Here is a 15,907-nt window from a genome sequence, read left to right as displayed (position 1 = left end):
AAAGAAAAGAGTCTTGTTGTTCAGGCTGTTGTTCAAGGCTGGAATGGCTACAAGGCTACAAGTCTATTTCATGGCATGGATGATGAAGATAGCTGTTCTTAGAGCATGCCATTACTGCAGAATTGGCTGCTGACACATCTCAGAGAAAAGAGAAACATCATGCTCAAAAATCCATCTCTTTAAAGAAAACTAGTCAGGCACAGTAGCTCATGCCTGTAATCCCAGCACTTTGGGAGGCTGAGGCAGGAGGATTGCTTGAAGCCATCAGTTCTAGACCAGCCTTTGTAGCATAGGGAGACCCCTGCCTTTACAAAAAAATTAAAAAATTAGCTGGCCATGGTGATGCACACCTGTAGTCCCATCTACAGGGAGGCTGAGGTGGGAGAATTGCTTGAGCCCAGGAGGCAGAGGTTGCAGTGAGCTATGATGGGGCCACTGCACTCCAACCTGGGTAACACAGTGAGATCCTGTCTCATAAAATAAAATAAGGAAAACAAGGTATGGTTTAGTTAGCACCAAGTCCACTATTTTTATTTGTTCTGAATAAAGAAGCTGGAAAGTATCAGGGAAAGAGTGCCATTCCATTTTGCTTTTCTTTAAATATTATACCACGGAGAAATTGTTAAAGAACAATTTATCTTTAACCTTTCACCCTCAGATGCTGCCAGCTGCAAGGTCAGGTGTAGCTTAGTTTATCTGCTCCCAAAATGCTGTTCGGGCATGTCAAAACCACAAGAAGTAGTTCCAGCTATTGCACTCAAGTTCTTTCTTGACCTCAATGCTTGGCACCCTCCTTTCATTCAGCTCAAGTTCCCATTAGGAGTATGGGGCCCAGTTTGGAACAATAGATGGGGCAGTTGTTTGCTTTCATTCATATTTCATTAACTTTTCTCGGCTGTGTCCAGCATCTTTTACTACATTTTGTATCATTTGTTATTACCCTGCAAGGTATAAACTTAATACAGACTTTGATTATGTTTATGGGACTAAGCCACTTGGAACTACAGTATTCAAAACTGCCTGGCCTTCCTCCAGAAATTTGCTGTATAACCTCCACAATGATAGGAAACAAGCTCCCAGAAAACCAAATCCTTCATATCAAACAACTGTGTCAGGTCTTTGGTTAGTATTAGCTTTTCTATTGCAGCAGATACCAGCGGATGGTGGATTAACTCAGCTGGGGGCGGGTTGGAGGTTGGTGGTGGTCCAAGGAAAACTCCATGTGATTGACAGAGGCCCACGTAGGGTTACTCAGGTCAGACTTGACATACGATCAGGTGAAAATGCAACTCCAAAAACTTGGAGAAGACCCCAGCTCCGGAAACCATTTTTAAAGAAAATTAAACTTTCTAAATGGTTTCAACACATGTTTTTAATACTTGTTAAATGCCTTTTTCTTTCTGGAAAAGACATGTTTCAACAAAATGAAAAAATGGATAAATATTTGGCAAAACAATCTTTTCTCCAAATGCCCCTGGGTAAAAGCAAATGAAAATTGTACTTACAACCAGGCTGTTCCACACCTGTGTTTTGTTTTTTCTTTTTTTCCTCTTTATTGTGTATATAACAGTTTGCTTCATATGACTCTTTAATTAAATACTTAACAGCATATAATGGTGGACGTTGGGTAATGTTAGGCTGTGTTTTACTGCGTAGCTTAGTGTGCTTATTTGTACTTTGTGGAGGCATTTTAAACCACACGGAGGGCTCCCTTCCATGCAGAGAACTGAAGTACATCTCACAGAGAAGCCTTTGAGCTCAGTTACTGCATAGAATGAACCTCCGGTAGTGCCAACATGGCAGTCCCTAATGCATCCCAGCTCAGCTGCCTCTCTCTGGGCAGAGCTCCGATTTGTTTAGTGGGGAAATGATGCTTTGTTGCTTTGTCATTCCTTTTAGAAAGCCTGATTTGTCTGTATGCGGAGCGGAAGAAGGAGATAGAAATGGAGGAGCAATCTAGCAGCAGGTAGAGCAAAAAGAGAGTTGATTAGTGGCAGCAGAGAAATAGTCATTGGCCGAGCATGAATCATGGAGTAGCCAGCTGGGCTTGAGAAGGACTCTACAGCTTGATATGTATGTGTTAAGATAGGTTGAGGTTGTGAGGGTGTCAAAAGCCTTTACTGGCCCAGGAAATTGAGAAGCAGATAGAGAGTTGGTTTGTTCAAAGGTGAGTTGGCGTTTGGACAGGGATTTTCTTTTCTGCAAGGTGAGTGCAGTGGTAGAGCTAGGGGTATGTGAAGAGAGGAGATTGGGTGGCTTGCCTAGGGTGCAGGCGAAAGAGCCAGGAATGAAGTGAGAGGCCTAAGTGGAGCCTTCTGTGGCCTTTTGCCAGTCTAGAGCCGGGGATCCTAAATTTATTTAGGTCATGGGCCCTTTGTGAATGTGAATAATGCTTGCTATGGACTCTCACCCTAGAATAGTTTCTCACCCTTGAGCTATTGACATTTTGGGCTGGTAATTCTTTGTTGTGGGGGCTGTCCTGTGCATTGTAGGATGTTTCGCAGTGCTGCTGGCCTCTGCCGAAGAGATATCAGTGCCAACTCTCCCAACCCCCAGTTGTGAGAACCACAAATGTCTTTAGCCACTGTCAAATGTCCCCTGGGGGTGTTGGGGGGAGGGGGGCAACATTGACCCTCGTTTGAGAACTGCTGCTCTAAAAATATACAAAAGTATTCAAAATTTCCAGGGTTGGAAATTGTACTGACTCTTGAAAACTACTCATAAACCTCTCTAGGGTTAGCATTATTAAAATACATCCAGCACCTCCTGTCTGACTTCTCAGAAAAGCTGGATCCTACTTACTGCACCAACTTTCTGAAAGGTATGGAGAATTTTTCTCCATTAAGAAAGGGGACAACAGAAGTTCATAACATTTAAATTACGGATTTCTGGTCACACTTAAACTGCTTACCTATGATGTCATAGGGTATAAGAATACAGATTCCCTATCTCCTGGGAAAGTTACATATTTGTCCAGTGGTTCAAGGCTACTAGCCTATGAAACTTAGAGGAAGTCAGCATGGTTGATAAATACATCCTTACACTGCACTGACTCTTTCTTCCATCTTTCTCTTCTCTCTTAGAGACCTGAGAAGCATTTGTCTTGCCACTATTTGGAAAGCTCACTTAGTCTTCTGGATGGCAGGTATATCAGCCATTTTAGGGTGGTCTCTGTCATTCTACTTTTGCAGAGAATCTACTCCTGCCATTGCCTCTGCTGAGTGGGCAGTGGACCAGGTGTCCCTGCTCTTAACTCTGTCTGTGATGGTGCACACTGAGGTGAGGGAAAGGGCCTATCCCAGAGTTAATGGATGAGCCATAACTTGAAGCCTGAATGAGGAAGATAAGCCAGGCCAATAACATTTCTCCCTTGGAATTTGAACTTAGCGCCACAGGGGGATGTGGCCTGTTGGTAGCAGAGTGGAGTTGCAGTAGAGTCACGATCATGACAGAACTCTTTTTATGGAGGCCTCCAGCACTTCCCGGAATCCAGGACAAGTCTCCAGATTCAGCCTCGGGAACCATCAGGGTCATTAGAGTTCCTGTACTCAGTGTAACTAGAACTGTCCCTCATGGCTTCCTTTAATAAACACTTACTATACTCCACCTAGCTTGAGCAGAGCCCAGATAGGACCAGTGGGTCCTCAGGGCTGGCTGCCTTTCTGTTAGATACTCCACACATACAGGTGAATGGAATTTTGAGAAATTATAAGGATGGCCCTGTTTGTGGTCTTCCAAGGCAGCATTTCCCACAGGAAAGTAGACATTGTTGCCAATGTATTGTCTGTGGGACATGTAGGTGAGCAGATGGATATCCAGGTCTGTTAATCAGGAGTAGAATGGATGTCAGCTACAGGTTTATGGCATGCTGCCTGCAGCCTTGTCATGGGTGGTCAGACGTGGCCAAGGGGCAGGTGTGTGTACATCTCTCTAGGTGTAGACGCTCTAGGGTCATTCAGTGCCTCTTTGGCTGAGTCTATAACACTTGTTGCCCTGTGAGGAGCACCACCACAGTAAATGCATATTCCTACATTTTGTGCTATGGAGATAGTTCCTCAAAATAGTGTATTCATTCACCTAGGGTATTGCTGGCTTCCCTTCAAGAGCATGGACAGGATATAGCAGCACTTCTCAACAATGGCTGTGCTGCTTCCGGGGCCGGGGCAGGGAAATTTTAGAGATGGGGCCCAATTTTAATTGATACAATAATCAAGGAACACTACTGACATTTGTGAACAGGGGCCAGGGATGCTAGATATTGAAGATTTGTGCCATGAACCACAAAAATTTTGACTGTCTCACAAGATCTATTTACAATTATCTCAACTTTGAATCTAATTCCATTTAACATATATGTACAAATTAGTTTTGCTTGATTTTAATGGTCCCTGAAACTTCCAGGAATGCAACTGCCATTTAATGAAGGAGAGATTGTCCTTTTTGTCTGGAAATGTGTCAAGAATTATTTATTTCAGAAAATCATGTTACTGATGACAATTGCTGATTTGAGTTGCCAGGATGCAATATATTTGTGTTAGTTTGCATGTGGAGTAGTTACATTTATGATAATTTTGTGTGTGTGTGTGTGTCTGAATATAAATATATAAATGTGTGTGTTTGTGTGTCAGTTTGTGACTATAATGGAAGGAACGTCATCTCAACGTACTTCTCTAACTCTCATAACTATCTTGAATCACAAAGCAGCAGTAAGGTTTGCACCACAGAGTAATATCTTGTGGTGAGATGTTATCACCTTTAGCTACGTGTTCCGCTGTGAATTTACATTTCTTTCTAGGGAATGTGAACATTTGCATCATTCTTTCCACGAAGCCTGACCTTCAACTTCAACAACATTTGATAGCACAGCAGGACATTCTGATGCTAAACGAGGGGAACACGGGTTTCTCCAGCTCAGTAGAAGGAAGTTTCTCTCTGGCTTCCCTAACAAATGATTCCCTCTGTCTTTCTCTCTCCTCTTGGCTCTCTCTCCTTTGATCCATGCCGGGTATATTACCTGTCCCCCTCTTTCCCAATACTTCTCCAATTTTTCATCTCCAATTTAAAGCAGATGGCCTGCTCATGTGAATTATCACGATTATGAGAAGCAGTTTCCCACAACTCTCATATTCCTCAGAATGATCCTCCCATTAAATGTGACTTAGGTTACTTTCTCCCACTTAAAGTTACTTAAATTCATGATTATCCTCCTTATTGGTCTCGGAGGAGCAGAAATTCTTTGACTCTAGAGCATGAAGGCCTCTATATTTGCCTTAACCCTTTATTTATATCAAATTTTCTTCCTACTTCTAGTGACTCTTTTACTGGCATCATTAACTTCTCCTGGATTGAGTATTATCTATAATTTATAAGAAGAAATGTTCAAGTAAGATTACTTTTAGCTGACAATTAAAATGACCATTTGTTTCTTGGCATTTCTCTAGCAAGAATAAGAACAGCCCACTTTATTAAGTAGTTACTATATGTCAGGTCCTATTCCAAATTCTTTATAGGCATTGTTTCATTTAATCCTCATAAATAACTGTGTGAGGTAGATACTATTATTATCCCCATTTCATAGATGAGGAAGCTTGGAAAGATAAAATAACTTGCCCAAGATTTCACTATTAATAAGTGTCCTTCTCTGTCCATGAAATGTAAGTCATTTAATACCCTAAATAGGAAAGCATCCCAGAGAAAAATAAATTGAGAAAGTATAAGACTAAATCCATCACCAAGACATTCCATCAGAGTAGCAGTCGTGATGAGCTTAGCTTTTCCCTAAATATTGGCTTGCAATCACATTCTCATTACTCATATCTAAACTATATATAGCAACAATATGTCATCTAGAGAAGAATGACTGTAACAGTTGATGCTAACAGATTTCAGTGTATGTCTCTGTTTCTACTTTGGCTGTGGTCCTATTTAATTGGCAAATTATTCCTCATGAAAGAACTAAAAAGAATAAATTTCAAAAGCAAATTATAGCTTCTCTGAGCCTAGACAGCCATATATCTAACATATGACCCTTGCTTTGCCGGCATTTAGGGGCTGGAGGATGGAGAATAGAAGAGAACATGAGTATAGTTTGATATTAGCAAGGCCAATGCATTGTTTTAGATCCGTTCACATAAGTTGTCTTTTTTCCATGTGTTTACCAGAGATTATGCCCTTAATCTTGGTCCTGAGCCATTGATCTTGAGAGGAACCAGGCGAGCCCATTGCTTCTACTGAAAAGTGTATCTAAGTGTTGACCTCTGGATAGGTGAGCTGCATGTTGTTGGTTGATACTCTGCTCCTTACTGCCTTTTAATTCTCTCCTATTTCTGGGATTAGAAACCTGCTTCCTACATGACTCAGACCCCATTTCTTGCTAAGTTGTGTTGGTTGTACCAATAAGAGGCACTCAGGTGAGATTAGAAGATGGAGGGAAGCAGATGTGGTTGTGCTTTAGGCAGCAACGTCAATGAGAATGTGCATTCTTGTGGGTTTTCACTCAGCAGCCACGGCATTCTGTGGCATGAGTGAGCTCATGGGCTCTGAGTAACACAACTTTCCCCTTTCACTTTTCGAGTCTTAGCATTTTCTTGCAGTTATAAAGTTTTGGCTAAACTTTTCTTATTTGCACTTCCAGTTCCTCTGATATGTTTTGTAATCAATTCTCTATATTAAATCCTTACCTCCCATTTGAAATGAAATGGTTTCTATTTCCTAGCGTAGACACCAACTTATAGACAGGGTGGAATTTATAAAAGCCAATCCCATCATTTTCACAGATAAAAGACAAATTTTATCTATTGAATGATTTTATTAATTGTAAAGTAAAAATAAATTATAGCTTAAAAATTGCTTATGTAAGATAGAGCAAATGGTAACTAGGTGTGCATAAAGCAGCCCTATCTAGCCCTCTCTAGTCCTATCTAGCCCCAGTGGTTTACGTCCTCAGAACACAAAGGACTGCACTAAAACGTAACAAAGCAAAAACAAGGAAAAAAAGCACCTTGAACTGTTTTCAGTAATAATATTGTAGGCAGAAGTGTTAGTATTGTTTTCAGGGACTCTTCTAGAATATTATATGGTCAAGCAAGTGAATAATCATGTTAGTGTCACTGTGTATCATGTTTTTCAGAGAGGGAAATAGAAAATACAGATATAAGATTCATGAGGTTAAGTTTAAAACTCCGTAGAACTGACCTAGAATTGGAATAAACAGTTTAAACTCATGAAATATTTTATCTTTAAAAATATGTTTCCTAGCTCTCTCCACCAAAGAGGCCTGGAAACAATGACCAATCTATTAGCAATGAGCATCTTTAGCATACAGATTGTCATCTCTAAGTGTAATTTCCCAAGACCCAGGGCTTCTTGGGGGAAATGGTTGATTCCAGGCTGGGGGCAGGAGATATACAAGATGATACTGGATCATTTTGCCATATCACAAAGCAAGAAAGCTATCAAAGACCATTCATGTTGTATCAGAAAAACATAGGACCTAACTTGAAGAAGTTTCCACTGGTTAAATATGGGTCAATTTGAACATTAGTAAGAGTAATAACTGTATTGGTTTGAAGCACATAAAATATGTTTGAATACATGAGATAATTCTGCAATTACTTTTGCATCAATCTTTTTATTATTATAAAAACATAGGAAACATTATCAGCCACCTTTGAAGGATGCCCAGGAGCCAACACATTATAATTTTCTTCCTTCTTTCCTCCCTCCCTCCCTCCCTCCTCCCTTCCCTTCCCTTCCCTTCCCTCCCCTCCCCTCCTCCTTCCCTCCTTCCTTCCTTCCTTCCTTCCTTCCTTCCTTCCTTCCTTCCTTCCTTCCTTCCTTCCTTCCTCTCCCTCTCTCTCTTTCTTTCTCTCTCTCTGTTTCTCTTTCTCTCTTTCTCTTTTTCTTTCTTTCTTTCTTGATGGGGTCTCACTCTGTTGCCCAGGCTGGAGTGCAATGGTGCAATTATAGCTCACTGCAGCTTTGAATCCCTGGGCTCAAGCAATCCTCCTGCCTCAGCCTCCAAGTTGCTGGGATTATAAGTGCAAGCCACCATACCTGGCCAAACTAATTATTTTGAAAACTGTTAAATACAGTGGATGAATCATTCTTTTATTCTATCTTTCTTACATGAACTGTATCTCATGGTAACCAAATAATCAATTAGGGAAAATTACTGTTTGTAAAAGGATTCCAGATAATAAAGAAGGGAAAACAGAATTTGAATCTCATCATTCCAGGAGGCTGGGCATTGTGGCGCATGCCTATAATCCCAGTGCTTTGGCAGACTGAGGTGAGAAGATGACTTGAGGCAAGGGATTTGAGATCAGCCTGGGCAATATAGCAAGACCCTGTTTCTACAAAAAATAATCTCATTATTCTGTAATCCCTAATAAATTAGTAGATGTAGGCAGTGTTCATTAATGGTTGCTAACATGACAAAAAGAGAGTGAACCAGAAAGTGTGGTGAAATACACAACACCACTTGTGACATATTCTTGCCGAAAAGAATTGAACCTGAGTCTAATAAATCCACTAGAACTAACTACCAAATTGTACAGAACAGCAAACATGTTAAACATCATGGAATGAAGTCATAAAACTCAGACTGTGGATTTTGACATGTAATATATAATGTGGATTTTGACACATAAGTTATAAGAAGTAGTGGAGGGGAGCCTATAGATTAAAAGACATTTGAGAAACATATTAAATAATTTCAATGGAGGGTCCTTTTTGGATCCCAATGCAAACAAAATTGTGAGACAATTAGGGGAATTTCAACACTGGCTGCATACTTAATTATGTGAGAAATTAATATCAATTTTCTTTTGGTTCAGTAATAGTTTTGTGGTCATGTTTTAAAAAGAACCATTGTCTTTTATCTTTTATAGATAGATATTGAAGTATTTGTGGAGAAATGATATCTGGAATTTGCTTCAAAAAATCCAGGGAAGAGGGAATGATAGGGATACAGAAGATTCATGATTGCCCATGAGTTCATAATTGTTGAAGCTAGATGGTGGGTATACAGTGGATTTTGATGCTACTCTGTCTACTTTTGTATATATTAGAAAATTTCTATAATGGAACGAAAAAAAAAAGCTAGAGAGGGCTAAGTAGAAGATCTTCACATCCAGGTTTCTGGAAATTGAATGCCTTCCATTCTCAGTGATTGGTGCCTTCTGAGCTCCTTAGATATTTCCAGGTGTGCAGACTACATCAGAACTTAAGTTTTGGAATGAAACTTACGCTCTTTAGCTTGGAAGAGATAAAGAGCTAGACACCTCAAAGAGAATGTTTCTGATTGCTGCTGTAACAAATTACCACAAACTATGTGACTTATAACAACATAATGTGTTGTCTTACCATTTCAGAGGGCAGAAATTCAAAACCACTTTCACTGAGCTAAAATCACGGTGTTGGGAGGCTGCACTCCTTCTGGAGGCCCTAGGGGAGAATCTGTACCTTGCTTTTCCTGTCTCCTAGAGGTGCCTGCATTTCTTGGGCCCCTGTCTACACCTCTCTCCTCTCTACATCTGCCTTCACATCTCCTCCAATTCTGTTGCATCTCTTGCTCACTTATTTTATATATATATATATAATATATATATATATTATACATATATATATTATACTTTAAGTTCTAGGGTACATGTGCACAATGTGCAGGTTTGTTACATATGTATACATGTGCCATGTTAGTGTGCTGCACCCATTAACTTGTTATTTACATTAGGTATATCTCCTAATGCTATCCCTCCCCCCTCCCCCCACCCCACAACAGGCCCTAGTGTGTGATGTTCCCCTTCCTGTGTCCAAGTGTTCTCATTGTTCAATTCCCACCTATGAGTGAGAACATGTCTCCCTCACTTATAAGGACGCTTGTGATAACTGTGGTCCCACCTGGATAATTCGGATAATCTTCCTATCTCCAGATCATTAGCTTAATCACATCTGCCAAGCTTTTTTGCGACATAAGGTAACATATTCAAAAATTTTGGGGATTAGGATGTGGACATCCTTGGGGAGAGGCATTATTCTGCCTACCGCAAAGAGAATTGAAGAACCCGCTGGGGTTCTTTGGTTAAATCAGTTGCAAGGAAGTCTGGGAAACAAGGTTGGCAGGAAAAGGATGGGGAACATTTGGTTACAAAGAGATGGTGGGCGACACAAAAGACTTAAAGGACTAAGATTTGGTGGTGAAAGAACCAATGAAAAGGCATTCAAGGGACCTAATGATTGTAGATTTACAGAAGTTATTGTAGAGAGAATGATGACAGGCTGGTTTTCATTTCCATAGAACCAGCATCAGTTAATTTAAATGAAGCAGAGGCTATGGATGGAAGATTTATGAAAATTCTTTTATCTGTAAGGATTGAAATCTGAAAATACTTTAGAAAGCCTAAATGAGGAATTCCCTTCCTTAGAAATTTTGGAGGACCACACACCTATTTATTTGCAGCTGTCAGTGGCTGTCCTATCTGGAGGTAGATGCATGTTCTATGGGGTCTGAGCTGGTTCTCCTTATAATTCTGTTTATGGTTAATGTAGCCTTGAACTCTGGAGAGTAGAAAATGCCACTTCAGCTGCCTGGCTGTCTTGGGTCTCAGAAATAAATAAAGAAAGAAAAACCTATTGTGGCATAAGGGTGGTGAATAGAAAACAAATCAACCAAAAGATCATTTAAGCATAGGGGTTGGTGGCTTGCTTGAGTAAGTGATTTATGACACAATGTTTTTATTTGATCTGGCATTACAGGGATAAATTATTGAGTGCTAATTGTATGTTGATAAGCTGTTCCTGCTTAAATTTATTCCTTCCTCAGTTTGTGTTAATTGGAGTGTATTGGAACAGAAGGGAATTGCCCACTTACTGCCTGGTTTGGTTTATGCTGTTGCTAAAATGTGGAGTTGTAATTGTGTCTTCACTGTTATTCATGCTGAATGAATAAGGGAACTCCTGCCAGTGGACTTCCCCCACCGTTATGCATATTTTTTTCTCATAAATGAATTGTTAAAACATAATATTACTCCTATTTACTAGTTCAAGTTTACTCAAGTTGCAGCAGAAGGTAGGGCCAGAGGTGGACTGATGGAAGGCTGGGGAAATTTAAATGCACATTTTACCATTTGAAATTTAAATCTTCTTTAGATAAAGTCATCATGGGGTGGGGTGGGGGTACTGAATGTTTCCTGTGTAGGTGGCTTTATCTTTGACTAATATTTCGCTCTCTCTCTCTCTCTCCTCTCTCTCTCTCTTTGGCATGAAGGGACATGAGTGGCAATGGCGTGAGTGAGGCCAGCAGTGTGCGTCCAGGTGGAGATGTGGGTGTGGATGTGGGGGGTGGGGGGCCAGTAACTGGCAGATATTGAGGCTCTTGTCTCTCAAGTGTCTCTATAATAAGTACCCTAATTCCAGGGAATTGAGTGAGTCCAGCTTTCAAGAACTCAATACAGACACAAAACAGCAAACGGCCAGCAGGATTACAAGTAGAAATGTTGGGTTGAGATTAAAGGAAATTTGCAAGGGCAGAGGAAATAGTAACATTCCAAATAGGCACGCCAGATTCAGGGGACCCGAGGGCAGGCCACAGGAGTTACTACACATGGCCCGAGGGGAGGCTTGTAAACACCAAGCCCAGACACAGATGCTCGCTCTCTGCCTTGGTTTTATGAATTCCACTGGATGTGGGCAGGTGTGTACCTGGCTGTAAACCAGAGAGGGGTGGGCTCTGCAGGTGTGGGGAGCTCCTGCATAAGGCAGAGACGGTGGGTGCTGCTCCCCAGGCCTCTTCCTGGGTCTCGGATTCCCCTTCAGCTTCTCTCTGCTGCCCTGTAACTCTCTTCCCTCTCTGTTTTGTTCTCAGATGTTAGGTATAATCTCTTCCCATTGATGTCCCTCAAATAAAATAGAAAAGAGTTCTGTTTAACCATTGTTCATGCAGGTTTCCTAGTCAAAGAAGAAAGAACCTCGCTGGCCTCTGTGTAGAAAGCAGAGGTGAGGATTAGGTAAGTGTGGTTTGACCCATATTGAAGATACCTCACTGTAGGTGCTGAAGGAACCATGTAAGTTGGGTCTAGAGGTAGGGATTGTGAGGGCAGAATTAGGTTGAAATTTCCGAAACTAGCCCTAGTTCACTTATGAAGCCATTCTGGCTCTTGGCTAGTTAATTAAAACAGGAGTCATAAATGTGTATAAGAAGATTAGCTAGAATGGCACTGTTACTATGATCTATTTCCTTAAGAAAGGCATGCTAGGGTCCTCGCCCACCTTCTTGGAGATAATGGGAAGTAATGGAAAGAAAGCAGGAGAGGAGATAGAATCCTAGTTCTAGTTGGGTCTCACTATTGACAAGGCTCCTTCTCCCCTTTTTTTTTCTGGAATTTGCAGGCCTCTCCAGTTCTGGCACCCAGGGACCTAGGGCCTCTCAACAGCAGGACCCCCTGGAGTGCTGAGACCTGGAGGGGAAGCCCAGCCAGCATTCAGAGGAAAAACAGGGGCTCGAATCCCAGAGTAAGAAGGCCAAGGGGAGGGTAAAAAAACTGCAAGTTCAAAGCTGATGGGAGACACTGGAAACAGCTCGGTGTGCACATTGTCAGTCTTCGGGGCCCAGCCATGGAGATTAACTTTAGATAGAGCTAGAGGGTACACTGAAGCACATCGAGTATAACTCAGAGAGGTAAAGCAACTTGTCCAAGACCACACAGCTGCAGGTGGCAGACCTAGGACTAGATCCAGTTCTGTAAACACCCAGGAATGCTTTTTCTGTAATAACCTTAGGCCTACCTACCAAGTCAGGTCCATTCTGACCTTGGGTGAAAAGGATGCAGAAAGTCATCCCTGACCAACCACACAGGGAGACAGGAAACTACAATGGGGTTCCAGAGCTACTTGAACTCCACAGTAAACTGTTTTCCTATTTTTAAATTTGGTCAGATAAGAATTATAGGTGATACTGTTAAGAGCCTTGAGGAAAAAAAATGAGTAATGATTAGTAGATCCAGAGAGAAGGTTGTAGGTACTTCCTGCTGCAGAGAGCTTAAGGTTGACATCAATACAAACACCTTTGGTTTTCTTGACAATTCTTAACCTTCTCCATTTGTTTTCTAACTCCTGATCTGTTAGGATTAAGATCTGGCATGTGTAAGTTTGCCCTAGACCTTGATTTTCGGAGAGTGGTTTCCAGAGCAGCAGTAGCAGCTTCACCAGGAAACTACTAAGAAATGCAAATTCATGGGCCCCACTCCAGTCCTCTGGAATCAGAATCTTTGGGTAAGGGTCTAGGAATCTGTCTCAATAAAGACTTCAGGTGAGTCTGATCCATGTTAAAATTTGAGCAGCCCTAAATTAAAAATAAAAAGTCAGTGTAGAATAAAATAATTCAAAGTAATGGTTCAAATTCTGACTACTAGCTATGATGCCTTGGACAAGTGACTGTCTCTCTGTGCCTCAGTTTCCTTGATTCTGAAATGGTTGGGCCTGCCTCATGAGGTCGTTGGGAAGATCAAATGAGATAAGCAAGGAAAAACCTGTGTGTAGCACCTTGCCTGCTGTTCAGTGGGTGCTGAGTATACTTGTTATTCCTATAATTATTACAACTCCAGCTCTCTCTAGCCCTGGTGGTCCACAATGTGAGTTCTAGACCCTTCCTTGTGCATGTTCTCTCTGTCTCTTTCTCTCAGCTTCCACAGCTCCATCCAAATCTTGTAGGTACTTTGGTGTGAGCACTGCAGGACTGGGAGCGGGTAACCGCCTGAGCACTCTTGAAAACCAATCTCCCACCCCTCCCAAGTTCCTGAGCCTCATCGCGATGACATCAAGACAGAACTAAAGCATACTTAGTCCTACTTCATGCTATGAGAAACAGACCATGGGAACCTCATATTCTGAGCCAAAAGTCACGTCACATTCACAAGAAAAATCTTCCTTAGCCAGAGAGGAAGGCCCAGACCTCGGCCATTGGAACTGTCCTCAGAAATCCAAAGTGTCTGGGCATGCTGGCTTAGACCATCTTGCCTTGGCTGTTCCTGTGGCTACTGCTAGCAGCTTCCACGTGGGCCTTTCAAAGCAAGAGCTCAGCCAGCACTTCCCAGCAGCTTGTGGGGCCCCGGCATGGCCTCTGTCTCCACAGAATACAGAGATGAGTGGCAGGCTGGAGCAGCAGCTGCGCCGCCTCCCTCAGGGCCACTATAATGTCTCCCAGGGGGGCAGCCCAAGCTTGAATAAGCCTTGAAATTAGTGAGCAATTCTGACTTGTTTAATTTTTCTCTCCTAAGAACTTGAGAGATCATGTCCTCTTAATCATCTTTTGAGAGGAAAGACATGAGAAAAGAAAGACATTTGAGAAAACAGAGCAATTAATCTGTTCATTCATGTTCAGTAAATGACTCTGTGCTCTGAGTATATTCACTTTCTAGTCTCCAAATATTTGTTGGGTATGCATGGAGCATTGGAAACACCAAGGTGAATTAGGAACATAACTACTTTCAAGAATTCTGCAAGTGCATGGGGAAGGGGGCAAAGGGAACTCCCATTTTGTGAGTATTTATAATTCAATGTGCCAGGCACTGGGCTAGATGCTGAATTCTCATGAGAAACCCATAAGGTTCATGCTTTTACTCCCATTCTACAGATGAGGACATTGAGACTTAGAAAGATGGAGTGACTGGCTTGGAGTCTCCTATTTGGAAAGTGGCTGGGCTCCGTGACACAAAACCCCTTCCTTCCTTTCTTTCTTTCTTTCTTTTTTTTTTTTTTTTGAGACAGAGTCTCGCTCTGTCTCCCAGGCTGGAGTGCAGTGGCGCGATCTCGGCTCACTGCAGGCTCCGCTTCCCGGGTTCACGCCATTCTCCTGCCTCAGCCTCCTTTTAGCCAGGATGGTCTCGATCTCCTGACCTGGTGATCCACCCGGCTCGGCCTCCCAAAGTGCTGGGATTACAGACATGAGCCACCGTGCCCGACCAAGCCCTTCCTTTCTTTACTATTCTCCCTCTGCAGGGGCATGGTTACTCATCTTTAGTGCAATGAACCAGACGGCTAAGTGCCATGAGAAGGTGTAAATTCAGAGGACTCTGGCAGCACAGAAGGCAGAAAGATGGCTTCCGGCTTCCACACGGGTTTGGAAGGATAGCCTAAGGGTGGGTAGAGGCTTCACAAGGTGGGTAGAGGAAATCCCTGAGCAATGCTGTAGGGAGGGATGAGTGATAGGGTAGGATGGGATAGATGGGCCCCCCTGTATGGTTCTGTTTGCCCTGAGCGTGGTCCTGCAGGAGTCTACCGTGGGAAGCAGAGGGATCTGGATATCTTGGGTCTGGCTCTGTTCTCAGCATGATCCTGGCCAGTACTTGGTCATCAAGAAGGACTGGAAGAGCCAGGACAAAACTTGGAATATGCTTTGCACCCCCATGTATTATACTTGGTTTCCTTGGCATCACCATCACCTCACCACCTCCACACACTTACAAGGTGCCCGTGTGCACAAAGCACTTGGCATAGGCTCAGAACATATCTGAGGGTACTCATGCCTCTCCTTATCCAGCCCCTCTCTCTTGTCCATGTCAGTTCATAGCAGCTGACACCTCCTGCCAACATCTCATGGGAAAGTCAGGAAGAAACCGGCACTTGCCAAGAAGTGAGATCCCAGGTGCTCTGACGTGTTATTTCATGTATCCTCACAAGGCAGTGAGATGATTCCCATTTTATGGCTGAGGTTACTGAGGCTCAGGGAGGCGAAGGTGTGCAAGGACCCAGCTGGTGAGAGTAAAGTGGAGTGCTCTCTTTCTAAAGCTGGTGACTTAGGAGTGAAGAGGGCAGTCAACAGTTTTCTGGAAACCAAATAATAATCTGTGATAGATTTAGTTGATTTAAGTTAACCAATTAAAAGGTAAACAACTTGTATTGCCAAAGT

At 42.3% G+C, this 15,907-nt stretch overlaps 1 long non-coding RNA gene across 1 annotated transcript in view, besides 1 other annotated feature; it reads left to right on the top strand.

Moving 5' to 3' along the window:
• Positions 1-15,907, top strand: part of LOC107985962 (uncharacterized) — a 243,604-nt gene that overhangs the window by 90,011 nt on the left and 137,686 nt on the right. The window contains exon 3 of the long non-coding RNA XR_007087312.1: positions 6,162-6,265. This is a non-coding gene — a long non-coding RNA (uncharacterized LOC107985962). The remainder of the gene's footprint in view (positions 1-6,161; positions 6,266-15,907) is intronic.
• Positions 4,550-5,173: an enhancer, noted in NCBI's record as "OCT4-NANOG hESC enhancer chr2:176608583-176609206 (GRCh37/hg19 assembly coordinates)". NCBI's record gives its function as "activates a minimal SCP1, AML or CMV promoter by ChIP-STARR-seq in naive H9 embryonic stem cells {active_cell/tissue: H9 hESC(naive)}" and the evidence as "EXISTENCE:reporter gene assay evidence [ECO:0000049][PMID:30033119]".

Source organism: Homo sapiens, chromosome 2, assembly GCF_000001405.40.
Source record: "Homo sapiens chromosome 2, GRCh38.p14 Primary Assembly".
Lineage (NCBI taxonomy): Eukaryota > Metazoa > Chordata > Mammalia > Primates > Hominidae > Homo > Homo sapiens.
The sequence above is the reverse complement of the archived record's forward strand: the minus strand, read 5'-3'. Positions and strand labels throughout refer to the sequence as shown.